At 48.6% G+C, this 27,260-nt stretch overlaps 1 long non-coding RNA gene across 1 annotated transcript, besides 1 other annotated feature; it reads right to left on the bottom strand.

Annotated features, from left to right (window-relative positions):
* Positions 1–3,048: 3,048 nt before the first annotated feature.
* Positions 3,049–8,688, bottom strand: LOC105369397 (uncharacterized). Its single transcript, XR_950337.3, has 4 exons — positions 8,245–8,688; positions 4,051–4,241; positions 3,627–3,785; positions 3,049–3,300 (listed from the first exon to the last, which is right to left on the bottom strand). It is a non-coding gene; the product is annotated as an uncharacterized LOC105369397 (long non-coding RNA).
* Positions 15,530–15,842: a silencer, noted in NCBI's record as "fragment chr11:76456551-76456863 (GRCh37/hg19 assembly coordinates)". NCBI's record gives its function as "represses an EF-1alpha promoter that drives an FKBP-Casp9 reporter gene in an ReSE screen in HepG2 liver carcinoma cells {active_cell/tissue: HepG2}" and the evidence as "EXISTENCE:reporter gene assay evidence [ECO:0000049][PMID:32094911]".

Here is a 27,260-nt window from a genome sequence, read left to right as displayed (position 1 = left end):
ATTTGCCTCCTACTTCCATCTCTGGTCATTTTTGTTAGCTCAGTTGGTTAGTGGGCTTTCAAAATGACTTATTACAAGACTCTATATGTTTGTATCTCAGTTTTTGTGATATGCATGGACCTCTAAATCTCAAAGCCCAGGCCCCTTATGGGTCTGAGCAGGTGGAAATGTGAGCCTTCCACAGATGCCAGAGGGGAGACGCTGGTGCTCGAGCTACCAGTGGGAATGAGGGGCAGCAGGGGATGCCCTTATAGACTGAAGGTGACCTAGGCCAATGCCCTGGCCCTCTGTACCTCTCCCACCTCCAGAACAGAAATACACTCCAAATACGAGTGGGGAAAAGCCCTGAATTGTCTGAGGGAACGCTGAACTGACCAGCATCATGCCCATCAGCACCAGAGTTAAGCATTAAGGTGACGCTTCTGCGTCCACAAGCTTGGTTGCTTGACGGAGCTCAGCCCTTGCTCCACACGGAGCCTTTGTCAGTTCTCTGCAGTGAGCACCTGCCATTCTGCAGTGATGGGCACACACATCACAGCAAAGCCCCTTCTGGCTGGAAGCTTCACTCTTCTTTTGGAGTGGGGTCTAAAAACAGACCCCCGTTTGTTCAGGACCATGAAATTTCCCACATAACAGAGCTCTATATCCTGCTCACCTGCTGCCCCTGCACCCCCAAACTCACTTGCTAGCAGATTGAGTTGGGGCATATATTATTGGCTATGAGTATGTGTGACTGTGGCCTTGGCTGTGAGTGCAACTGTGAGCAGGGCTTTTGTGTGAGGACGTGTGCATGTGTGTGCCCATGCAAGGAATTTCATGAGATTAAGTCAGATAAGCTCGAATGAAGACCCAGCAAGTGCTACATGCCTATCAGCCTCTGAGTCAGGGTGTGTGTTCAAATGAGGATCCCAACAGTTAGCCTGTTGGTAGGCCGGTTCAGTGGCTGTGAGCCAAAAGGCTCTCAGCCTTGTTTTTGTTTTTTGTCTTTTGGGTTTTTTTTCTTTTGCAGGGTTTGTTGGTGTCTTGGGGTAAGAGGCTCTTCAGGCTGAAAGGTGAGCGGAGGCTGTCAGAAGCTGGGGAGATCTGGGTCACCCAAAGCAAACATGAGCCCTTACTCAGATCTCACAGCAAAGACCACCCCTGGATCTGTCCATGCAGAGGCCCAGGTCTCTGGTGAGAAAGGCAGAGGGGAGGATCAAGCATGGAAACTGGAGGGGGAAAGAACAGAACTCACAGGGGTAGACCATTGGCTCTAAGACACCCGCGCTTGGGCCTTAATGTACAGCTCAGTTAATCTTCACCTTTGCCCTGAGAGGTTAAATTATTATCCCCATTTTACAGGGGAGAAAACAAGCTGGGAGAGGAGGAATGACTTGCTCATGGTTGTGCAGCTAGTAGAAAATTCTACCCTCTTGTGGTGGCACCATTGTTTCCTAATACAAAACAGAGTCCTACTTCAAGGAAGTGGAGAGAAAAGGGGTAGATTTGTATTTTCCCAAAGGATAGAGCAGGTGTCCACATAATGACTCCAAGAGTCTAAGAACCTGGGTGTTGGGGAAGCTGACTTGCTGGCAGAAGCACACAGGCTTTGGAGTCAGTGTCTGCAGCCTTCTGGTTGGGGTAATCTTGAGCAAGTCATTTTACTTCCCTGAGTCTCAGTTTTCTCATCTATAAAATAGGGGTAATGATACGCTATTCTATCTTCATCAGATTGTAATGAGAATTACATGAGATGCTGTGTGGGAAGCATTTAACACGAGGCCTGGCAGAATACTCTGCTGTGGTTGTCATCTCTAGGGTTAGGATATAGGTCTCTTTGGTATGAGAGAGCCACACTCAGGGAGAGTAAATGGCAAGGTGTCCCCAGGGAGGAAAAGACCTGGACAGTGACCAAAGTTGCCTTGTGTTGCAAACAGTCTGTGGGGAGTTCTTTGTTTTCATTCTTATCCCACAGAGCTACTCCATTTCTACACTCTCTAATCACCTTTAAGCTTCAGATAAACAACAGAAGAGTAGAGAGAACTGCCTGGCCCTTTTAATCTCCTTGAATCTCCACCCCACTCTCCTCCACAATGCACTGGCCATGGGAGGCCTTTGTTAGTTGGAATGGCAGAATGGCTTCCACTGCATCTGGGAGGATGCTGGGGCCTCCAGGTGGGCTGACTTCAGTAGCACCAATACCATGCTTCCAGGGGCAGTGCTGAATTCTTAAAGCTCATCCCTCATCTCTTCCCTACTTTGTCCTGTTGCAGTCTGGCACACACACCAACCCCATTGACCATGACTTCCTTAAGGTCCCCACAGCTCCCTTATCAAGTCTGGTGGACACATCCTGCTCAGTCTTGACTAACTGGCCCTCTTAGTGCCTCTGGTGCTCTATGCCTGCCTCTGCCTCAGATGCTCCCCTTGGCACCCATGTGATTTGCTTCCTTTCCTCTTGCCGGGTCTTCCCTCTTCTCTAGGCTGCACCTCCTCAGTTGCCTCTGAGGGCTCCTCTGTCTCCGTGGCATCCTCATTATGGCTGTATCCATGGCCTGGCCCTGGTCCCTACCTTCCTCACTCCACACCCTCTCCACCTTCTTCAGCCCAGAGCCTTGCTGCCTAGCTCCCCAGCTCCCCAGCTCCAGACCCACTGCTCTCTAGCCTTAGGACAGCTCCACTGGGATGTCCCTATGCCCTTCACACTCAGCCTGTGCAGAGAGGGACGGCCGAGACCCAGGCCTGCTCCTGCCACCTCCTTGCTCAAAACCCTCCATCTACAAACACTTGAGAAAATGATTTGGCGTCACATATTCAAGTTGAACATGCGCATGCTCTCCAACCCACCAAGTCTACTCCTGGGAATATACCCAACAGGCATGTGTACCAAAGACGCATGCAAGGATATTCAGAGCACTATGCATAATAGCCAAGAACTGGAGACCACCCAGTGCCCATCAACAGACAGTGGCGGATTCACACAATGGAGTGCTACAAGCTACGGAGATAGCTGCAATATTGAGAAATCTCACAGACGTCCTGTTGAACAACAGAACACGACACAGTTCATACTGTACACTTGCATTTATAAAGTTCAAAAAACAGGCAAAACAAACCTGTGGTACCAGAAGACAGGACAGTGGTCAGCCTTGGGGGCACATAGTAACTGGCAGGGACCCGCAGGGGCTTCTGGGTGCTAGACGCCTGACAGATTTTGATCTGGATGTTGGTTCCATGGGTATATTCCTTGTGAAAATTTACCAAGATGCATACTTATGATAGGTGAATTTTTCTGTATATGTATTACGCTTCAATAAAAGGCTAAAATAAAGAAATAAATAAAATCTTCCATGAGTCTTGATTGCATTCAAGATAAAACCTGCAGACTCCCTTCTAGACTGGTAAATGCAAGGCCCTTCATGACCTGGCCCCTGCCTTGCTGCCCTCCTCTCACTCCACCCGCCCCTTCTCCAGCCCTCACAGTAGCGAGGTGATTGCCACTCCCTGAAAGCGAGATGCTATTTTCAGCTTCTGGGCTTTAGCACGGCTGTTCCTTCCGTCTGGAATGCCCTTGCCAGTCTATTCCATCTGGCTACACCCAGAGATCCCTCAGGACTTTCTCAGCTCCCCGGACCATGAGTTACCACCTCAGCTCGCTCCATAGTTGTTGGTTTGAACCTCTGTTCCAGTGTCTGCTCTTCTGCTGGCTATGGTTGTCGCCCACCTGTCGTCCTGCCCTATGGCTGTGAATGCCATCTTGAAGAGACTATGTCTTTGTTCTGGTATGTCCAGCAAGAGCTCATGGCCTGGGACAGGGTTAAGTGTCAATAAGGCATAAAAATGAAACCATATGCAGTCACACACTCAACAAACCATTTCCTTGAAAAGAACAGAATGATGTGTAGGGAGTACACACTTTTGTTATATAGATTCCGGTTAATGCAATGTTTTAATATTTAGAATCAGGATGTCCCTGGGAAACCTGGGCAGTCTGGTTGCCGTGGGCTTTCTTGTCACAAGGGAACCCAGTGATAGGCTAATTCATACTATAGCATGAAGAGCTAAATATACCTGCATTTCACAGGAAGAGCCCCGAAAAGGCAATGTTTTCCATAGTGGAATGGTGTATACATATGGTGGCATTTCAGGCATAGTGGCTTCTTAGAGAGCACTTTCCTTCTTAGGATGGATGCCGTCTATATGCACTTGAGTGGTTCTCTAGAATTCAGATGAGCAGTGGGTGCTCTCCCAGAAGGAGGGCCCTGTAAGGAATTAAGTTGTATTTTATTTAACAAGAAGCGTAATAGGCAGAAAATGACCTTGGATTTCCTGAATGTGGCCTTCCTTACAACGTTGCTGCAGGGCAGGCCCCCACAGTCCTAGGAGAGTGAGGGGTCACTGGAGGAACAGGGGTGGGTCAGGGTTCTCGAGAAAGCAGACCCCAGAAGCAACCTGCATCTTGGACTCTGGGGTTGCCTGGGAATGAAAAACGAGAATGGGGTCCCCCTAATAGCTGCAACACCATATGCTTAGGCTGTCAGGGTACAAGGGGTTGGTAAGGGGTGAGGTTGCTGCTGGAGGATTTGTATTCTTCTCAGCTCGTGGGAAACACAGCCACCCTTTGAACGGGGTGGGCAGGGAAGCATGGAGAAAAGCCATGCCTGGGTGGGGACAGCAGTGTGGGCAGGGAATGGGAGTGTAATTAGAGTGTAATTAAAGTATTTTGTGGGCTGAAAAGGAAAAGCTGCCAGGCCCCTGAGCCAACCCAGAGGAGAAGAGGGAACAGAAGTCTTATCATTGAGAGAATGGTGGCGCCAGCCTCCACCCAGCCAGGACCACCCACGGCCAGGGGCCACGCAGGCAGAGCTGCCAGGCAAAGAGACCAGGTGCACCCTTATCTGAGCTTGGCATGGAGGTAGTGGGATGATCCCTCAGGGGACCACGATGGCCTGGCAGAGGGCCCTGCTGCAGCTGGCAGGACCAAGTTTCCATGCGGTGCTGCTGGTGGCTGGGAGGAGTGATGGCCGCAAGGGTTCCTTGGACACAGGTGCTGGCTCACTGGCTGGGAAGGTTGAACTAAGTCCCTTTCCCACTGTGTGGGGGACAATTCAGGGGGTCTCTCCCCAAGAGAGATAAGATTGGAGATCTGAGCAAATTTTAATTTTAATTTAGAAAAAAAAAATAAAGCACAATGGCCCTAAAGAATTAAGTCAGCTACATTTGACCACATATCAATTAAGAACTTTTTTTGTAATAAGAGACAGAATAGTGTTAAGACGTAAATGACAAATCAAGAGAAATATTTGCCCCGTGTATAAGAAGAGATCAATGTCTGGGCAATAGAAACAGCTCCTGTAAATCAATAAGAAAAGACAGACAAAATAGAAAACTGGGCAAAGTGTTTGAATAGGAAAGTCGAAAAGGAAATAAAAAGGATGTATACATGCAAAGATGCCCTCCTTACTGGTCATCAGGGAAATGGAAGTTTAAAAGGAACATGAGCAGGGCGTGGTGGCTCATGCCTGTAATCCCAGCATTTTGGAAGGCCAAGGTGGGAGGATTGCTTGAGCCCAAGAGTTTGAGATCAGCCTGAGCAACATAGGGAGACTTCATCTCTATCAAACAAATAAATAGATAAATAAATAAATGAATAAATAAAAGGAACATAAATCAGAAATTCGTTTTTGCCTATAACATTGACACATTTTGAAAAATATTGATGATAGTAAATGTTGATAAGAGTTGCTGGCCATGTAAATTGGCGTAGCCTTTTTGGAGGCCATCTGATAGACTCTATTACAAGTTTGTCCACCCTGTGGCCCACGGGCCGCATGTGGCCCAGGACGGCTTTGAATGAAGCCCAACACAAATTCATAAACTTTCTTAAAACATTTTTGTGAATTTTTTTTTACCTCATCAGTTATCGTATTAGTGTATTTTTTTTTTTTTTTTTTTTGAGGCAGAGTCTTGCTCTGTCGCCAAGGCTTGAGTGCAGTGGCGGGATCTCGGCTCACGGCTCACTGCAACCTCTGCCTCCCAGGTTCAAGCAATTCTCCTGCCTCAGCCTCCTAAGTAGCTGGGATTACAGGCGCCCGCCACCATGCCCAGATATATATATATATATAATTTTTTTTGTATTTTTTTTAGTATTTTGTATTTTTAGTAGAGACGTTTTTGTATTTTTAGTAGAGACCATGTTGGCCAGGCTGGTCTCGAACTCCTGGCCTCAGGTGATCCACCCACCTTGGCCTCCCAAAGTGCTGGGATTACAGGCGCCCCCCACCATGCCCAGATATATGTGTATATATATATATATATATATATATATATATATATATATATATAGTATTTTTTTTAGTATTTTGTATTTTTAGTAGAGACGTTTTTGTATTTTTAGTAGAGACCATGTTGGCCAGCCTGGTCTGGAAATCCTGGCCTCAGGTGATCCACCCACCTTGGCCTCCCAAAGTGCTGGGATTACAGGCGTAAGCCACCACGCCTGGCCAGTGTTAGTGTATTTTATGTGTGGCCTAAGACAACTCTTCTTCCAGTGTGGCCCTGGGAAGCCAAAAGATTAGACACTCCTGCTCTATTAGAATTTAAATACACATATCTTTATGTATTTGACCCAGCAATTCACCTCATGATATCTACCCCAGAAAAACACCTGCATATGTGCACAAAGAGGAAAGTACAGGATATTTATTGTAGTACTGTTTATAATAGTGAAAAATAGGAGGAAAATGTACAAGAATAAGAAGTGGTTAAAAATTCCAACACAAATTAGTCAGGCATGGTGGCGTGCACCTCTAGTCCCAACTACTAGGGGGACTGATTGGGGGAGGATGGCTTCAGCCAGGGAGGTGGAGGTCATGGTGAGCTGAGATTGTGCCACTGCACTCCAGCCTGGGCAACAGAGCCAGGCCCTGGCTCAAAAAAGAAAAACAAAAAACTCCAATATATTTATACTATGGAATGCCACTGAGCAACAAGGCAATGCAGCCCTGTAAACTTAGACTTACAATGTGGCCCAAGAGAGGGAGGCCTGAGCGTCAGCTTCCCTGGGCTGGCCTGTCCCAAGGGCACCAGGAGGCTGAATTGAGGGCCAGTGAACCAATAGGCCTGAAAGGGTAAAGGGCCCGGGCGGCAGAGGCCGATGAGAGCCCACTGGGCAGGGGGATTGATGGGGACCAGGGCAGAGACTGTGGGTCTGCAAGCACCAGGAGCCCAAGCGCAGTCAGATTGGCCAGGGCCACCACTGGAGGAACGGCCTGGGCTAAAGGAAGGCCCTGAGCTCCTGAGCTGGAGACCCCATGGGAGAAACCAGCAACTGGACAGGCGCAGGATGGCCCTGGAGAGGCAGTGGCACTGACTGCATCTGCCGGTTCAGGACGATCGGCCTGCCTGGCTGCTCCCACTAAAAACCCTTTCCCCCACCACTCCTGATGCTCCCACACAGCTGAGAGGCAGGTGAAAGGGGAAGCGACCTGAGGGACAGGACGTTTTTATACAAGACAGACTGATATTACCTAGACAGCTTCAATGATCAGATCAGACCAAACTTTCAACCAAATTAGATGGCATTCTGTAACTTTTTCCCGCCAACCTGGGGTTAGGGCAGGGAGGGAGGAGTTTGGGAGGAAAGTCAGATTAGTAACACATAAAATCACAGCTTCCCTGTGCACTGGAGAGTAAAGTGAGCTGAATTTGATGACTCCCCCCACCAGTGTGACACACTTTGGTCATTTGGCCTTCCCAGCTTGGCATGCCCTCCCTCCCTGCTCCTCCTGGTCGGTTCGGTTTAGCCCTGGTATCCCTCCTCAGGGAGTTGCCTTTGAATCCCCCAGAATGACCTTCACACCCCTGGGCTTCTCTGCATGGTGGCATTTGGCACACTGTGTAGTCACATCCATCTTCCCCACAGACTGTGGGCTCTGGGGCAGAGACTATCTAATGCTCATCTATGTTCCCTTAGAACCTAGCACAGTACTGGACTCAGTTAATGTTTGCTGAATCAATGAGTGCATAAATGAATGAATGATGACATGACCTGAAAACTGTGACCTTGGGTCTTCACTTCCCTTCTCTAGGGCTCTGTTTTCCTAGAGGTGGGGTTGGGGAGCTGGCCTTCTCTGATCAACCTGCCCAGTCCAGGCCTTCTCCAGAAGAGCCCCAAACTGCCAGACTCTCTCTTTTCCCCACTGAAAAATTCCAGACAGGAGAGCCCAGTCTACTGCAACCTCCCTGCCCCCTCTGCCCACTCACATCTTTTTCAAATCCCGCCGCTTCCTCTCTCTAGACGTGGCTCATGTCTGGCTTCCTCCCAACGCCCTCATCCTTGAGGGACCTGACAGCTTCCAGATGGGTGCGGTCACTGCCTCCTTCCCGGAGTCCAGCAGGCAGGCAGCCCGGCCCAGCGGAGGAGCTGCCCAAGGCCTCTCCCTGCCCCTGGGGGAAGTCCCTCTCACGTCCTTTCGCGTCCTTCTCTGCGTCGTCCGGGCCCTCTGACCCTGCTCCCCTCTCCATTCTCTCCGTGTGGCTCTGTCTCTCGGGCTGGGCGTCTCTGGCTTTGTCTTTGTTGCCTTTTCTCTCTTGTCTCTGTGTCTCTACTCTCTCCCAGTACCTGTGTCCCCCACTCCTGCCCTCTCTCCTTGTCTGTTTTTCTACGTCTTTCTCTCCCCTCTCCAGACTCCTCCTTCCTCTCCTCTGGCCTTCCCCTCCCCAAGCCTGGCTGATGGGTGGTTGTTTCTCCAAACCAGGCCCGCCTCCGAACCTGCCCTGACCAGCCTGAGTCCCCTCTCCCACCCCACCTCCTCCACACACCTCTGTCGGGTGTGTGCCCCAGGACAGTCGGGGGAGTGTACTGGACCCACAACATCCCAGCGCTGCCTTCCCAAGGGGGAGAAGGGACTGACTGTGACCCATGGCCAAGGTCATCTGAGCTTAGCTGGCCTAGAGATGCCCCACCCCTACCCTGCATGAAGTAGCCTGGTCCCTTCCAGGCCCTGACTGCTCCAGTGCCTGGCGAGGGAGCAGCCCTCAGAACCGGGGCTGCACTTATGCCCCCACCCCCAAACATACACACACCGGGGAATGCTTTCCTCTGCTGCCTTTCCCCCGCAGAGCCCGCTGGGAGCTGGGCTGTTAGATAGCTCGCTGCTTCAGTTTTCACCCCAGAACCCAGCCCGAGGGATATAAGAGAACCCAGGCACGAGAGGGCAAGGCAGAGAAAGGAAAAATGGGATGGAATGTGAACCCTGAGGTGGGAATCTACAGGTTAGATTCAGCCCTGTGGGATCCTAGGCTCTGCCAATGGGAGGCTTCAGACAAACGATTTCTTTTTTCTGAGCCTCTGTTTTTAACTTGTAAAGTGGTACAGCAGATTCCCTCCTGGTACACTGTTATGGGAATTACATGTTAAGACATGGATAAAACCTCCAACACTGAAGGCTCTTGATAAATGTTACTCGAGAGGGAATCTGAATGCCTGACAAAGGAATAAGCCAGGAGTCAGGAGATCTGTGTTCAAATCCCATCTATGCCTTCTGTGGCTGGCCAGGGGGGATGCTCAAAAAGAATTGAATAGTAAACAAATGAAGGGAAAAGGAGATGATGAATGACTGAATCTCAATCGCTGATCACCTGTGGCTTTGCATATATCAGATTCTCAGGAAAATGGAGACGTAAAACTTACCTTGCAAACTTGCGAAGAGAATGAAATTGAATAAGGAATGTGAAAGTGCACAGTCAGTGCTCATACACATTTGCCCTTATATAAATTATGATAATCCTAGTGCAAGACTTAAAATAAAAAATTAAGAGTCACAAAATGCTGGGGCAGTTGCCCTACTTAAGCCCAAACTGTTAAGGAGCGTGGAAAAAGGGCCTGGCTTGCTTTTTAGTGGCCCTCAAGCCCACAGCAGATTGAGTGAAGGTGCCTGGAGACTTTTTGCAGGTTGTTTGTTTGTTTGTTTGTTTGTTTGTTTTAAGAGACAGGGTCTCCTCTGTCACCCAGGCTGGAGTGCAGTGGTACAATCATAGCTCACTGAAGCCTCAGCCTCCTTAGCTCAAGGATTACAAGTACACACCACCACACTCAGCAAATCACTTTTTTTTTTTTTTTTTTTTGTAGAGATGGGCATCTTGCTTTGTTGCCTGGGCTGGTCTTGAACTCCTGGGCTTAACTGATCTTCCTGCCTCGGCCTCTCAAATCACTGAGATTACAGGTGTGAACCAGCATGCCCAACTTATTATTGCAGGTTCTTGACCAAGTGGCCAGGGTGACTGCTGAGGAGCCAGAGATGCAAACCCGGGGATGCTGCAGCCTGAAGCAGGCCCGAGGAGGCCAGGGTCAGAGGGCCAGTCCTGCCAATGAGGGCCTAGATGGAGGGGTGAGGCCGTCTTCAGGACTACAGGCTTCACTCCCTATCTCAGCAGTGAGCCTGGGCACACCCTATCCCCAGGCTGGGCACCAGACTTTTGTCCCACTTCAGCATGGGTCCAGGTGGCATAGCAGACAGACCTGCCCTTTCCTGATTCCGGCTGCTGTTAAGTACATCTCACAGGCTACTGCGTCTGTGCCTTGGTTCCGCTGTCCCTGCCACCTGGGATGTGCAGTCTGCCTTCTCTTTCTGTTAACATCTTACCTACCCTTCAGCTCTACTGCAACTTCCCAAGATCCCCCTGGGTCAGAATGACTCCCACACCAACCAGACCTTGGGCACGTTACCTGACTCAATGAGTCTCCGTTTACTTGCTTGCATATGGTGCTGTTTGTACCTACCTGTGGGTCCTATGAGCATTTGGTGAGAAAACTTATACAAAAGTGCCCAGCATGATTTTAGCATATAAATTATCTCCTTATGGTGATACTTTTTTCCTCCAATAAAAAATTTGTCTTGCTTTCTGTGTTATGTTAGTTGGCATGTATTCCGCATCAGAATGGGAAGTACTTGAGCACTGGGTTATTTTGACCTCTAGTGCCTAACACAGGACCTGACCCATCCATCATAACACATGCAGAAGGGCGTGGCCCTGACCTTGACCTGCACAAGCTAAATAGGGCCACATTCTCTGAGCCTCCCCATGTGTGAAGCAATGTGGGGAGCATTCTCTGTGCATCACTCAATCACTCAACAAAAACTTAGTGAGCATCTACTATGTGTCAGGTTCTGTCTATGGCACTTAGGTGACATCAGTGAACAAAAGCCCTAAATCCTGTCCTTGTGGGGCTTGTTTTCTAGCAGAGGGAACAGATGACAAAGAGCAAACACAGTGAATGTTAGAAAATGACAGCACTATGGATAAAAATAGAGCAGTGCGAGGGGGAGTGTTGGGGGGAAGGGGGTAGGTTACAATTTTAAATTGGGTGGTCAGTGCAGGCCTCCTTAGAAGGACAGTTGGGCCAGGGCTTGAAGAGTTTGGGAGTTCATCATCCAAATGTCTGTAGGGAGTATGTTTCTGGCCAAGGAACAGCCATGGTAAAGGCTCTAAGGTGGGGCCACCCGGCTTCTTGTGGGAGGCAGGGAACAGGACAGCATTAGGGCAGGAGGTCAGGCCGTTTGTTACTGAGGGTTCACCAGGGCTTTACAGGCCACGGTAAGGGCTTTGGTTTTGCCCTAAGTGACTTGAGCCATTGGAGGGTTTTTTTGTTTTGTTTTGTTTTGTTTTGTTTCTGAGACAGAGTCTCACTCTGTTGCCCAGGCTGGAGTGCAGTAGTGCCATCTCAGCTCACTGCAACCTCCACCTCCCAGGTTCAAGCAATTCCCCTGCCTCAGCCTCCTGAGTAGCTGGGATTACAGGCACACGCCACCATGCCCAGCGAATTTTTTGTATTTTAGTAGAGACGGGGTTTCACCATGCTGGCCAGGATAGTCTCCATCTCCTGACCTTGTAATCCACCCGCCTTGGCCTCCCAAAGTGCTGAGATTACAGGTGTGAGCCACCACGCCTGGCCCATTGGAGGTTTTGAGCAGGGAAGAGACATGATGTGACATGTTCTAAAAGGATCACTCCTTATGGCTATTCTGTGGGTTCAAATCCCAGCTGCCCTTCTCGGTAGCTGCATCTCTGGGCAAATAATCTCAGCACTCAGCTTCACTTTCCTCTTTAAAAAGTAGATTAATACTATGTGTCTAACAGATCCTTGGCAGAAATTTCTGTCTGCTTTTGGGCCTAAGAATAGCAGTCCTTCTGAGCAGTTGGTCTGTTTCAATCTCATGAACACTGTGGCTGCGTTTCTCATGCTTACGGGCTGCTGGGAAGTGGGAAGCAAAGCATGTGCGCTCCCCATGGCAAATCCATTGCTCTTTAGGCAATTCCAGCTTTATTCTTGCACTGTTTTCTTTCATGCCTACTTAAAAATTTTGTTTGAAATGTTATGCCCTTTAAACAATTCCTTTAAAATAACGATTTTTCCTCAATTACAAAAATAATACATGTTAATGTTAGGTATTTGGGGAAAGGTACAGGAAAGGGACCATGAAGAAAATATTTGTGAACCAAAGCTAAGCAATTTTAATCTTTTTTGTAGTATTTCTCTCCAATCATATACATAGGTATGTGTGTATATGTATGTTTGTGTGTGTGTGTGTGTGTGTGTGTGCATAGCTAGAAAAAAAATTGAACTATTAAACGTTGTTCCCCTTCCTCCAGAGTTTCTTTAACTCATGACCTTTGCTCTCACCCTGGCTGTTGGGGACCACACCTTCATGCTATGGTGGAACACTGACAATAAAGGCCTTTGGCTTTGGGGGTTTGAGTGTAAGAAACACATTTGGAAGAAGTGGTGAAGAGTCAAGCAACCCAGCTTCCAGACCAGCCAGAAAATATTCTGATGGAGGGAAGGGAGAGTTTCAAGGAGCTGTGGGTGCTAAGGAGGGGTCCTGCACCACCCGCCTTCCCCAGTTTTGTCCCAGGAAGAGAGTGTGTGAGACCCGGCCACACCGAGATGGAGACTGAGGGGTGCTGGGACTCCCAGAGCAGGGAGGACTTGTGCCCTCCCTCTCACCAGAACCTGGGAGGCGCCAGGGCACTCGAGTTCCTGACAGCCCGCTGTGGTCCTGGCTAGCAGAGCACAGATGCCTGAGAGAAGTCAGGCAGATGGGCCGGAGAGAGCTTCACAAAATGTCCCACACCCCTGGAAAGGGACTGGGGCAAGAGAGGGAGTCCTGGGCCCCAGGGGGTTGTGGGGAGTGATGGAGAGCCTTGGGGAGCCCCCATCCCAGGTGCCCCTTTGTTTACACACACCTGGAAGCAATCACAGTATACTGACGTGCAGCTGTATCAGTTTCCTGCGGTAACAAATGACACCAAACTGAGTGGCTTAAAACAACAGAAATGTGTTTTCTCTTGGTTCCGGAGTCTGAAATCAGTTCAGGGAGCTGAAGCGAAGGTGTCAGCAGAGACACACTACCTCCGGGGGTTCCAGGAGAGAATCTTCCCTGCATCTTTCTCGGTTCCATCTGCATGTGGCCTTCCCTGTGAGTCTGTCTGATCTCCTCTGCCTCTTGTAAGGGCACATGCAACTGCATTTAGGACCCATCCAGATAACACACGATAAGCCCTTGTTGTCAAGATCTTCATCTTAATCGCATATTTTGCCCTATAAGGCAATATTCATCTTTTGCCATATAAGGTAATAACAGCACTAACAGGTTCTGGGGATTAGGAAGTGAATATATCTTGGGGAAGGGGGACATTTTGTCTGCCTACCGCAAGGACCCTGTAGCAGCCAAGAAAGCTGCCTGGAACGGAAGGGCCATGTGGGTGGGAACCACATGGCAATGACCAGTGAGAACTGATAGCCAGAGCTCAGACAAGCTGACGGAGTGTCTCAGGGCACACCACTGTAGACGGATATATTGGAGGACCAACCTGTAGGAATAGGGAAAATGAGGTGAGGGGGGGATCCAGAAGTGACTGAGATTAAGTTTCCACTTCACAGAATGGTGGCTCATAATAGAAACTAAATTTAGTTAGAAAAATAAAATTGCCACTTCTTTTGCACATTTGAGTACTCTGTGGTTGGAATCTGTTACACATACGCATGTACATACATACTCCCAAAATGAGCTCTCCTTTATAAATGCTATTTTCTTTTCTTTTTTTTTTTTTTGAGGAAAAAAAAAGAGATCTCACTCTGTTGCTGGAGTGCAGTGGAGTGATCACGGCTCACTGCAACCTCAGCCTCCCCAGGCTTAAGCCACCCTCCCACCTCAGCCTCCTGAGTACCTGGGACTCCAGGCATACACCACCATGACCAGCTAATTTTTTTGTATTTTGTAGAGACAAGGTTTCACCATTTTGCTCAGACTAGTCTCGAACTCCTGAGCTCAAGCAATCCTCCCTCCCTGGCCTCCCAAAGTGCTGGGATTACAGGTGTGAGCCACTGTGCCTAGCCTATGAATATTATTTTCCAAGCTAATTTTTTTAACTTAATAACATTTCTTTTTTTTTTTCTTTTTGAGACGGAGTTTCACTCTTGTTGGCCAGGCTGGAGTGCAATGGTGAGACCTCGTCTCACTGCAAACTCCGCCTCCCAGGTTCAAGCGATTCTCCTGCCTCAGCCTCCAGAGTAGCTGGGATTACAGGCATGTGCCACCATGCCCGGCTAATTTTGTATTTTTAGTAGAGATGGGGTTTCTTCATGTTGTTCAGGCTGGTCTCAAACTCCCGATCTCAGGTGATCTGCCTGCCTCGGCCTCCCAAAGTGCTGGGATTACAGGCGTGAGCCACCGCACCCGGCCAACTTTCTCCTACATCATTGTTTTGATAATTGCCTTTAACATCCTATTGGTTAAATGTACAATCCTGTACACACACCATCTTGTAATTTTATGAATTTTCATAAGCCACCTTAAATCTTTTTTTTTACATGATCAATATACTTATGAATATCTCACAAGGATATTAATAAGTATATGCAATATATTCATAAGTACATATAGCCCAGGCTGAAGTACAGTGGCACAATCTCACTGCAAACTGCCTCTCGGGTGCAAGTGATCCTCCCACCTCAGCCTCCCAAGTAGCTGGGACTACAGGTGCAAGCCACCACACCCAGCTAATTTTTGTATTTTTTTGTAGAGACAAGTTTTCACCATGTTGCCCAGGCTGGTCTCGAACTCCTGAGCTCAAACAATCCACCCTCCTTGGCCTCCCAAAGGGCTGGGATTACAGGCGTGAGCCACCATACCTCCCTATACTTTCACAGGAAAGGTGCTGCTTTAATGAGAAACCTGGATATAACTCTTGCCTCCACCCTCTTTCTCACCCCACCCCCGATATCTAATCAGTTGCCAGGTCCCACCCATTCTGCTTGTTCAGTCAGTTCTCTCCGCCCTCACAGTCCCTCTCCAGGTTCAGTTCGTTATCTCTCCTCTGCACCATTGCCTCAGCCTCCTCCATGGTGTCTTCATTAGGGTTCCCCCAAAAGCAGACCCTGATATAAGGACTTGGGTTATGTAGTTTATCAGGGGCAGTGTGGGGGTGATCCTCCTAGAAGCAAAGCAGGCAGTGAGGAAAATGAGGAGAAAAAACAATGAAGTGTGTGTGAGAAACAAACTTGGTCTCACTGGGCACGCTGAGGTATCTGTAGGGCGGAACAGGCTCATGTGAAAGCCCTTATCTTCTTGGGCGGAGAAGCAGAGAGAGGGTGGCACATGGGGTGGGCCGCTGTCACAGCATGACATTATTGCAGCTGGGGTGACCTTGGGGGATGTAGGGCAGGGCATCAGAGCATCTGCAGCACTGGTCTCCTGCCTCAGTCTCCCCTCTCTTGCCTGTCTCTGCCCAGCAGCTGGAGGGTGTTTCTGAGACAGTGTCTCAGGCTGCACTGGTATGAAAATGGGGAAGCAGGCAGAGAGGCAGAGGGACAGACTGGCTTCTACAAGGGTCTCACAGAGGGACTGGAGCATGGTCCATGGGATGCCTCGTGTCTGAGTTCACCCCTAGCTGAGCTGGACTGGGTTGAAACAGGCCAAGGGTCTGTGATCAAACACCAGGATCAAATCTCAGGACATCAGATTTTGTTTTATTTTAAAATAAAGTATGGTTTTTAAGTTTTTTAAAAACCTTTATTTTAAGGTTAGCTAAGGCTAACCTTAGCTTCGGATGAGAGAGGGAGGTGGCCCAGGAGGCCCAGGAGGCCCAGGGAAGCCACCTGGGAGTCCTCACTGCCATGGGCAGTCCACAGGTGGAGCAGTGAGTTTCCCTGTGCCGTTCGGCTAAGATATGAAAGTCATGAGGATGTATTTAAGTCGGCATTGATGCCAATTACTATCCTCATCTATGTCTGCAGATCTTAACAGAAAAAAAAATGTCACTATTGGAGTATTGCCAGTGTTGGAAAATAAGTGAGTAAATGAGAGTCTCATGTGTGTCATGGGTTCGGCTGAGGAAGCAGCGTCTGGATGCCAGTGACTTCCCTAACAGCCTCGTGGCTCACCTCACTCATGGGCCTCTCAGAGGAGCCGGGCTGCTGGGGTTCCCTGCTGACTGGGAACAGGCTGTGTGGCCTTCAGCGAGAATCCCTTCGGGATCCTCTTGAAGGAGCAAGTTTTCTTATGTGCTGATTAGATAATTAGTCCAACAGCCATTCCCTGGTGCCAGGTCCTGGGCTGGGACGTGGGACCCAGAGATGGTTCAGACATGATTTCTCCTCTCAGAGGGATCAGAGTCCAGGCTGGCTGAGGTGGGAGCAGAGTTCTGTGCTGTGATGGGCGCCCCCAGGTGACTTGATGAGTCAAGGGAGACTTCCTAGAGGAGGTGACATATGAGTTGGGTACGAGTACGAGTAGAAGTCTGCTGGGTGGGCATAATGGGGGCATAGATGGGGAGAACAAAGCATTCTTTTAACTCCATTTATGAAGCGACTGCTCCACATGTCAGGCCCCCGTCAGGTATAATGTGCATAAAAATGATAAACACAAGAATCCTGGTTCTGAGGAAGCTGAGGCCCAGAGAGGCAAAGTGACATGCCCAGAGTCACACAGCACATCAGGGGCAGAGCAAGGACTCGAACTCTCCAAGTCCAAACCTTTTCCCACCCTTACTGGGCATGACCCTGGAGGACAGCACTGGGCAGCTGGTGAGGACACAGTACCCACGTGGGTTTGCTGAGCCCACCCCTCTATCTCTGACTCATTAGCAGAAATAGATGTTGGATATGTCTTAATTTCTTGTTTGTTTGTTGTTTTTGTTTGAGAGAAGTCTCACTCTGTCACCCAGGCTGGAGTGCAGTGGTACGATCTTGGCTCACTGCAATCTCCACCTCCTGGGTTCAAGTGATTCTTCTGCCTCAGCCTCCTGAGTAGCTGGGATTACAGGTGCCCGTCACCACGCCTGATTAATTTTTGTATTTTTAGCAGAGACGGGGTTTCACCATGTTAGCCAGGCTGGTCTCAAACACCCGACCTCATGTGATCCACCTGCCTCGGCCTCCTAAAGTGCTGGGATTATAGGCGTGAGCCACTGCGTCCTGCTCAGATAAGCCTTAATTTCTGTGTTGTCTCTCTCCACCCCTCAGGTTGGGGACTGTGAAAGTGTCTGCCCCCAGGTAGGGCCGAGGCAGTTCTCTAGGATAGGTGGGCTCAGGGATAGGTTTTGCTGAGAGAGCCAGAGGAGGCCAAACCCAAGCAAACATTAGTACATCGGGTGTGGTATTGGATCAGGGTCTGAGCCGGAATGCAGCTCTGTGTCACCTGCATAGTTCAGGTGGGGTCGGGCAAGAACAAGGCCAGAGGCAGGGGATGGAGGCTGAAGGGTACTGCATTTGTATGAGTTAGCTTCAGAAGTCACATAGCATCATCACTTTTACCATACCCTACTGCTCAGGGCCATCATAAGCACCTGCCCAGGTTCAAGGGCAAAGGACATAAACTCTACCTCTTGTTGGGGAGTGGCAGGGTTCTAAAAGCGCATGTGAGATGGGAGCTCTCGTTGCAGCCATCTCTGGAAAAGGCAATTTTTGACACCCACTTTGTGGCTTGTATTTTCACTTTCTTCGTGATATATTTTGATGAACAGAAGTTCTAAACTCTACAGTAGTCAAATTTATTGCACTTCTTCCTTTATGTTTGCATTTTCTTATGTCTTTTTAAAGAAGTTCTTCCATGGCTTAAATTCATAAAGGAATGTTCCTATATTTTCTCTTAATATTAACAAAAAAAGTTGGTTCTCACATGTTAAGCCCTTAATCCATCTGGAATTGATTTTTGTGTGTGGTGTAAGGTGCAGATCACATTTCATTTTTTCCAGAAGTGTCAGCACCATTCAGTGACTAGTTCTTTCTTCATCTGCAATGCAGCTGTCATATATCAAGTTTCCATATGTGCAGGGGCCTATTTCTGGGGTCTCCATTCTGTTCCATAAATCTATTAATTTGCCACCTCTGCCGGCAGCCACGCTTTCTTAATTTCTATGGTTTTCTGATAAATCTCCATAGCTGGCACGGCAGGACTCCTCGCCTTATTTTTCTTTTTTGGGAGTATCTTGCCCTTTGCTCATCTATTTAAAAAAAAAAGTTAGAATCGACTTGCAAAATTCTCCAAGAGAGCTCCTGGAATTTTGATTGAAATAATAATGGAATCTATAAATCAATTATTTGACATTGATCATTTTAATCCACAAATCTAAAATATCTACCCACTTTAAAAGGTCTTTTTAAATTTTTTTCAGTAAAGCTTACAATCTTTCTTCATAAAAGGGCTTGCATGTCTTTTGTTAAATTTGTCTCAAGGCATATTTTAATTTTTGTTGTTACTATAAATGCATCTTTTTTAAAAATACATTTTTGAACTTTTTTTTTTTTAAATTTTAGAGACAGGGTCTCACTCTGTCACCCAGGCTGGAGTGCAGTGGCATGATCATGGCTCATTGCAGCCTCTACCTCCTGGACTCAAGCGATCCTCCTGCCTCAGCCTCCTGAGTAGCTGGGACTACAGGTGTACACCACCACGTCCAGCTAATTTTTTTTGTGTGTGGAGATGGGGTCTCACTACGTTGCCCAGGATGGTCTTGAGCTCCTGGGCTCAAGTGGTCCTTCTGCCTTGGCCTCCCAAAGTGCTGGGATTACAGGCATGAGCACTGCACCTGGCCCCAGTTTTGAACTTTATGTTGCCAGTATACAAAAATGCAACTACTTTTTAGGTATATATCTCATGTTCACGTGTTTTGCTAAACTCTGTCATTTTAATTATTTACAGATTATTTGTAGATTCTATGTGGACAATAATATTATGTACAAACAGAGTTTTGTTATTTTCCTTTCATATCTCTATTCTTTCATTTCTTCATATTTTATTGTGCTAGCTAGGGGCTCCAGAAGAGAATTCAATAGCAGTTTTTGACAGAAGGAATCCTTTTTTTGTTCCTGATTTTAAAGAGGATTTAATAAAAAACAACTCACTGTTGAATATGATGTTTGCTTTAGGGGTTTTGCAGGTATTCTTTATGAAATTAAGGAAGTTTTTATTCTTGCAAGTTTGCTAAGAGGTTTTTTGTTTTCTTTTTCAATTGTGAATTAACTGAGTTTTATTAAGCACTTTTTCATCTATGATATGAAAATATGGCTTTTCTCCTTTAATATGTTATTGTCCAATATTAAGATTAGGGTTGGCTATAAAAGACAGAAAACCCAACATACTAGTATCTTAAACATAAGAAGAGTTTACATCTTTCTCAGACACAGGTCTGGAGGAGGGAATTCAGGGGTATTTTGGCAACTCTGCTCCAGGAAGTACCCCAGGCCCCAGGTCCCTCCTGTTTTGTGCTCTGCTACCTCTCCAGGGGCCTCACCCCATTGATCCAAGATGGCACTGCTGCCAGCACAGCCTCATGCCACAGGGCACGCAGAGAGGGCCAGGCAGGGGCACAGGGCTGGCCAGGTGGCACTCAAGAAAGGCTCCCAGAGCCTTGCGCCCTAGATTTTGCTTATATTTCATTTGAGATATTTACACACATGTTCGTAGGTTCTATAAACTTGCAATTTTCCTTTACTACGTTGACTTTGATTTTGCTATGGAGGAGCTGTATGAATTAGGGGTTATTCATTCCTTGAAGGCTTAGCATTGCTTATTTGAAAAAGTTTTTATCTTGGGAGTTTTATTGTGGGCATTTTGTTTATTGTTTATTGTTTCTAAAAACAATTTTAAATTTACAGACACTTGCAAGTAGAATACACATACTCTATTTTTTCCTGAGTGAATATTTTAGTGTTTCCTACAAACAAGGACATTCCCTTACATAACCACAACACAACCAACAAAATCAGGAAACGCCCGTGGATACATGACTCTAGTCTCCTCCAAAATCTTGCGTTGTCATGTCTTTTCGTCTTTTTCAGACTAAACAGTTCCTCAGTCCTTTCACTTTCATGAGCTTGATACCTTTGAAGATTATAGGCCAGTTATTCTGTAGAATGGCCTTCACTTTTGGTCTGTCTGATGTCTCCTTATGATTAGATTCAGGATTGAAATCTTTAGCAGGAGTACTACCGGGGTGACACTGTGTTTTTCTCATTGCATCCTGTCAGGTGGCATGTGACTTCAGTTTGTCCCATTACTGGTGATCTTTGCTTTGATCACTTTGATGGTGCTTGCCAGGCTTCCCCATAGGAAAATTACTGCAGAAAATGATTCCTTTTCCATGTGTAGTGAACATGTATTTTGTGGGGAGGTATTTTGAGACTATATAACTATACTGTTCCTCATCAAATTCTCCCTTCCTTGCTCGTTCCCTCCCTAACGGTTTGGACTCATCGTTTCTTATTTTATTCAGTGAGTTATAATCTGTCATTACTGTTACTTACTTTGATGCACAGAGTGATCCAGACATGACCCATGGGAGCCCCTATGGGATAACTTCTATATCTTTTTGACATGTCCCCATAACTCTTTGAGCACTGATTTACTTTCTGGCACAGCAAGCTGTTCCAGGCTCATCTTGTAAGTTCCTTGTCCCAGGCCTGGAATCAGCTATTGCTACAAGGGGCCCTGGCTTGAAGAAGCCAAGACTGGAGTGTTCATTGCTATTGGGATGTGGCTTCCAGGCCATCTCAATGGAGAGAGCTAGAAAGCATATCTATCTGGAAAACCATGAGTTCACACTGATACCTCCAAATCCAATCCAACACCATTGGGTTAATTTTATTTTTCTCTTTCCATACCTGTAACTCCCTTCTCTAGCAGGGAGAAACCTGGCTTTGATTACCTAAAATACATTTACTTTTTTGATCATATATAACCATTCTTCCATCACTACCCCTCCCCACTCTGAGTGGATATCCTCCTCACCCTGCCTGTGCTCGACACCCATGCCAAACAACCACCCCCACGTGGTCCCAGGACCTGGCCAGGGGAGTAAAGGCTGACGTTAATTGAACTGACCTGCTTGATGCTCAGTCTTGCGCAACCCTAACTTCAGAAATTCAAGTTTTATTCTAGGAAAATGCCTTTTAATTTTGAATGGTCACGGAAAAGGAAACCATTTGCCTTCATAGCTGGGACGAGCTCTTAAAAAATAATGCCAACTCAAAGAAAACACTCAATTTAGAAGCCTCATTGAAATCCTGGAACCCCAAGAATACATCATTAGATTCCTGATTGGAGACCCTTTTCCTAAAATGAATGTTATGTGTTCATACCTGTGTGAGCAGAGTCGCCTCAGGGTGCTTGAGCGTTCTTTTATTTACTTATTTATTTTTCAGACAGGGTCTCCCTCTGTCACCTAGGCTGGAGTGCAGTGGCACGATCATGGCTCACTGCAACCTCAAACTCCTGGGCTCAAGCGATCCTCCCACCTCAGCCTCCCAAGTAGCTGTAACTACAGGTGTGTGCCACTATGCCTGGCTAATTTTTGTATTTTTTGTAGAGACGGGGTTTTGTCATTTGCCCAGACTGGTCTCGAACTCCTGGATTCAAGCCATCTGCCTGCCTCGGCCTCCCAAAGTGCTGGGGTTACAGGCGTGCACCACCGCGTCCGGCTGCTTAAGCATTCTTGATGTCTGTGAATCGTTATTAAGCCCACTCACAGCCCCAGTGCTCATGCCCTGCACTGCCTGGTCCAGACGGAGAACCACGGTAACTCCTGGTATCCGTGGCTCACGGTTGTAGATTTCCATGGCTGACATATCTTAGGCCTGCCAGCATGCCCCTCCAGGGTGCTTCTTTCTGACTTACTGTTTCTAGTCTGAAGAGGTCTGAGGAACAAATCGCTGGCCCCAGTAGGAATGTGGGGATTTAAATGGAAATCTCATGGCAGTGTTTGTTCAGCCTTGCCCTACACCCTAGCCAAGTGCTCTGTTCTTCTTTCCCACCTTCTCTTTCCCTGCCTGCAACTGGGACCTGGGCCAAGCCAGAGGCTCTGGAGTCTGGCCACTGCCATTCCCCGGTTTAGGGAGAGGCCTTCCCCTACCATAGCCCGCTGCGCCCTTTCCGCTCCCATTCGTCTCTCCTCCTGCTTCTCACCCCTTGGAACTCTCTGTCCAGCTCTCATCTTTCCTCCAGGGCCCTTTCTTCTTTCGCTCTCTTTGTCACCTGTATTCTGAGCCTGATCCTGCCATGATTTGCTGGGCCTCAGTTTTCTCACCTGCAAAATGGGGAGAGGGTTGAACATGGTGGATTCTGAGGCCCCTCCTGGCTCTGCTCTCTCCTACGTCCCATCCCTGGCACACATCCTTGTATTTGCCCCTCTCTTTCTGCTTCTTGTTTGTGGATCATGTATCATTTCCTCTCTGCCTCTGATTCTTTTGGCGTCTCTCTCCATCTCCTTCCTCTGTGACTTTGTTTCTCTTCCTGCACATCTGCTTCTGTCATAATTTTTCTTCTTGGAGTCTCTTTATCTTTCTCCCTGTCTCCCTTTCTGTGTCTCCATTGCCTCTGACTCTATAATTTCTGTCTCTCTCTGCCCCTCTTTCTGACTTTCTACTTCTTTCCCATCTGTGATCACTTTGATGTGATTCTGTTTCTCCTTCTCATCCCATTGCTACTTGGTCACTGCCTGCCAACTCCCTTCCTGACACTGCTTTTTCAGTCTGTTCCTGATGCCAATGTTCCTGGGTCCCCACCCACTTCCCTATCCCTGTTCAGAGTCCCCCTTCCCATTCCTGCCCTGACCTAGGACTGGGAGCAGGGAGCTGGTGCCATGCTGCCCCTACCAGAGCCAGGCTCCTCCCTGGAGTGGGAATAGCAGCTGTGAGGATGGCTCCAGGAAGCATGTTGGGCCCAGCTGGCCACCTCTGTCTCAAGGAAGGCTCAGAAAGTTAGACGCACCACTCAGAGGGTGGAAGTCCTGCCACAGCCCAAACCCAGAGAGTGGCCATCGGCTCCACAAGCACCCTCCACCCAATGTGTGGGGTGCACATGCACATGTAATGCGCGCCCCTGCATACACGTGCATGCAGCTGGGACACAAGTTCTGGCACTCAGCTCTCATCGGGAGTTTCTGCTGGCACTCAGGGCCACCTAAAGGTTGCTTCCTCTCTTTGGAGTCTACTCCAGCCTTAATTGCAAACTTCCGGCCCCAGTCTGGCCCTTGGAACGTTCTCTATGTAGATATGGATCAAGACCCAGTAGGAGGCAGGGCAGGTGGCTCACACCTGTAACCCTAGCACTTTGAGAGACTGAGATGGGAAAACTGCTTGAGCCCAGGAGTTGTAGTCCCAGCTACTCAAGAGGATGAGGTGGGAGGATTGCCTGAGCCCAGGAAGTTGAGGTTGCAGTAAGCCACCATGGTGCCACTGCACTTCAGCCTGAGCAATGAGAGTGAGAACCCGTCTCAAAACAAAACAAAACAAAACCCAAAGACCCAATAGGGAGAAAGAATTCTGACCCAGCCCCAAGTTAGGAGCTGGTGTAATTCCCATCAAGCCTGCAGATTGCGATCTGGCCCCTAAGCATCCCAGAATCTGGATCTAATAGACATTTACTGGGCATCCACCAGTGCCCGATGCACCTGTCACCCCAAGCAAACCTCACAGCTGCCCTAAGAGGCAGGTGCAATTGTGCAATTGTCTTCCATTCACAAGTGAGGAGACCACAAGTCAGTTAGAGGCAGAATTTTCAGCCCAGCACAAGTCTGGCCTGCCCATATGTCCTCTGCCTACTGTGACTACCCATGTTGAAGATTTGCCAGTGGGAGGAGGAGCTGAAGGAGCCTGCAGAAGCCGACCTTTGACAGTGGGTCCCAGTCCTGGAAAAGACACAACAGAAATAAAGTAAGTGAGATCTGCCATCTCACCAGGGGTCACGTCAGAGTCGGATTCTGACCAAAGGCTCTGGGCCTGGCATTTTCAGGGTGGGAGGTGTGGCAGGGCTGAGCCTTTAGAGCCAGGTCTAGGGGGCAGGCACATCACAGGTGGCACAGCCATGAAGGAAGCACGAAGCCCCCAGAGGGTGGCCCCAGATGTCAGAGTGAGGTGTGACAGGCCTGCCTGTGGGGTGCCCCACACTGGTGGTTTATCAGCACGGAGGAGGAGCTGCCTCCTTCCCCATCCCACTGCCCTGGAACTCTGCACAGGGGAGCCTGCCGGGCCCTCGGGTCTCCACAGCCTAGTGTCGGCTCTGCACATTCGGTCTCACCGCCAGCCTGTGGTGAAGGCTGCAAACATTGTGCCAAGTCTGCCTTGTTTGGGCATTTGTTGGGGGCTAAAGCCGCTCCATTTTACATGTTAATCTGCCATGATGACTTCTGATGAACCCCAGTCAAGGAAGGCCTCTAAGATTTCTACTTTATTTACTATTCCTTGTATAAGAGCACTATGTACTGTAAATCCTGCCTTTAGGCCAAAAAAACCTTGACCCTAAATCCTCTCCTTAGGCAGGTTCACAGAGCATTCCTGCCTTTCCCTATAACTGTCGTACACATTCCTTCCCTATGGTAGATAAGCCCTGGGTCTGGAAGGGAATGGCTCAGGAATCCACCAGTTTGTCTCTCGGACGTGGCTTCTCTTTGAGTCCCTCTGAAATGTTTCTTCTGAGGAAGGGGATATGTCAGCCTCTTTCTTCGGCCTCTCAGCTTCCTGGGCCTTTGGAAGTAGGCTTGCACATGCCTGTCCACTGTGGAACAGCACTGGGGCCATGGAGAATAATTTGACAGTGCATCAGACTGCAAACTCTCAGCCCCATGCCCTCCAGACACCGGCAGGAGCCCCGCTGACAAAAGCAGCTCCCTTTCTCATCGCATTGCTGCTCACAGGTCTCTGGATTCTTCCATCTGCTCCTTGCTCTTTGCTGCTGGCTCTCTGTCAGTTGCAGGTCCTCTCCAGCCTGCCGTCTGTTGCTTTTGTCTCACTCCACCACGTAGCTGGAGATTGCGATAAGGTCGCAGAGGGCGAGCTCATCAACCTGCACCATGCGTGAGGATAGTGAGGATAGGAATTGCCAGACCACAGGATCCCCTTCCAAAGCCGGTTGTTCGCACCTCCTGTTGTGCCTCGTACCCTCCACGAGGTTGCAAACCTCTGCCTTTCCCATCAGGTTATAGCAGTCTCTTTTGTCTCACCAGTATCAAAAACAGAGCTGGCACAGACCAGGAGATCAGAAAATGTTGAGCCCACAGATGCATGAAGGTGTGAGACTCAACAAGTTGGACTAATGAGCAGAATGCTCTCAGGGGAACTTCATCAGGGATGAATGCAAAGACCACGTTTGAGCCCAGGACAGGGAGCTGGGGCCATGTGCTTCAGGTGGAGGAGGCAAACCCTCCAGGTGGCAGAGGGTGTTAACTCACTCTGGGTGCACTACATTGGGGGCAGCTGAAACACAAAGGTGGTCTCAGGCGGCAGCCCCACCAGGAGTGGGTTTAGACCACAGTGGGTCTGTCCTGCTCAAGGCTATACTGGCCTGCAGTGCCGCGGCAAGTTCTGAATGCTGCCTTATGAGAACAAAAAGGGCAAACTGAAAGTACTATCTCCCTCCCAAATTTGGGTCCCTCTACCAGTCTCCAGGCTGGCCCTCACCAAGCCAGGGGACCAGCTCTCTACCCAATGCTAGTCCGCTGTTTCGTGCTCTGGGCTGGACCCTCCCTCTGCTCAGCACAGCCACTTGCTTCTGGGAAACCTGAGATTGGCTTTCTCTGCTTATTCTTTCTCTGTTTGAAGCTGTCTGGAACTGGGCCTGGCTTCTTTTACAGGATGCTGCCTGCCGACAAGCTCATTCTGAAGCAATTCAAAACAGGCTTGGTCCCTGTGATAAATCCCTGGCAGGGACCAGGAGTGACAGCAACACATAAAATAAACCCCAAAGGAAAAACTCAGCCTCCTGAAACACTCTGTTAAGATGGCAAATTCACATCCAGTCACTGTGGGAGGTGCAAGTCAAGTTCACGTTAAAATGATAATTTCCCACACTACCGGCTTGCACCTGGGGCTCCTGGTCGGGTGCTAAGTGCATATTTAGTATCCACCCCAGGTGGCAGGACAGGCTCAGGATGTAACTCAGCCTCCCAGGGTCTCCAACAATCGTCTCCAGCCTCAGAGCAGCCCCCCTGACCCCACAAATTGTCTTGATTCCCCAGGAACCACTTTTACTCTAATAGAATTTTCTCTATTTTTATAGAAATCTCATTTGGAGCTTCAGAGGCTGTCTTTACCTCTTATCTCGCACTTACTGGGTGGCCTAGAATAAGTCATGCAGGCCTCTCAGCCTCAGATACCTCACCTGTGTCAGGGGCCCCCAGCATACCAAACTTTCCCTCTCGAGCATCTAATTTCATCCTCACCACAAGCCCAGAAGGTGCACCTATTTCCTCAAAGGGGAAAATGGGGCCCCTGAGGCCCCATTCCAGGAGGGAGATGCCAGGGTCTGTCCCTAAGCCCGTGCTTTTTTTTTTTTTTTAGATGGATTCTCACTCTGTCGCCCAGGCTGGAATGCAGTGTTGCATTCTCCACTCACTGCAAACTCTGCCTCCCGGGTTCAAGCAATTCTCCTGCCTCAGCCTCCTGAGTAGCTGGGATTGCAGGTGCATGCCACCACACCCGGCTAATTTTTGTATTTTTAGTAAAGATGGGGTTTCACCATGTTGGCCAGGCTGGCCTTGAGCTCCTGGCCTCAAGTGATCTGCCTGCCCCGGCTTCCCAAAGTGCTGGGATTACAGGTGTGAGCCACCACACCCTAAGCCTGTGTTTTTTATGCCCCTGCACCCCAGGACCCTAACTTGGTCCTTTGTGTCCTGAGCCTATCACCTGCCTGAGCTGCCCACAAGCTGCAGGCTGGGCCTGGTTCTGACTCCAGGTGTGCTCTCCTGCAGGCAGCTTTCTACTGCCAAGAAACTCCAGCGTAGGC

Source organism: Homo sapiens, chromosome 11, assembly GCF_000001405.40.
Source record: "Homo sapiens chromosome 11, GRCh38.p14 Primary Assembly".
Taxonomy (NCBI): domain Eukaryota; kingdom Metazoa; phylum Chordata; class Mammalia; order Primates; family Hominidae; genus Homo; species Homo sapiens.
This window is presented reverse-complemented; position numbering and strand designations above follow the sequence as displayed.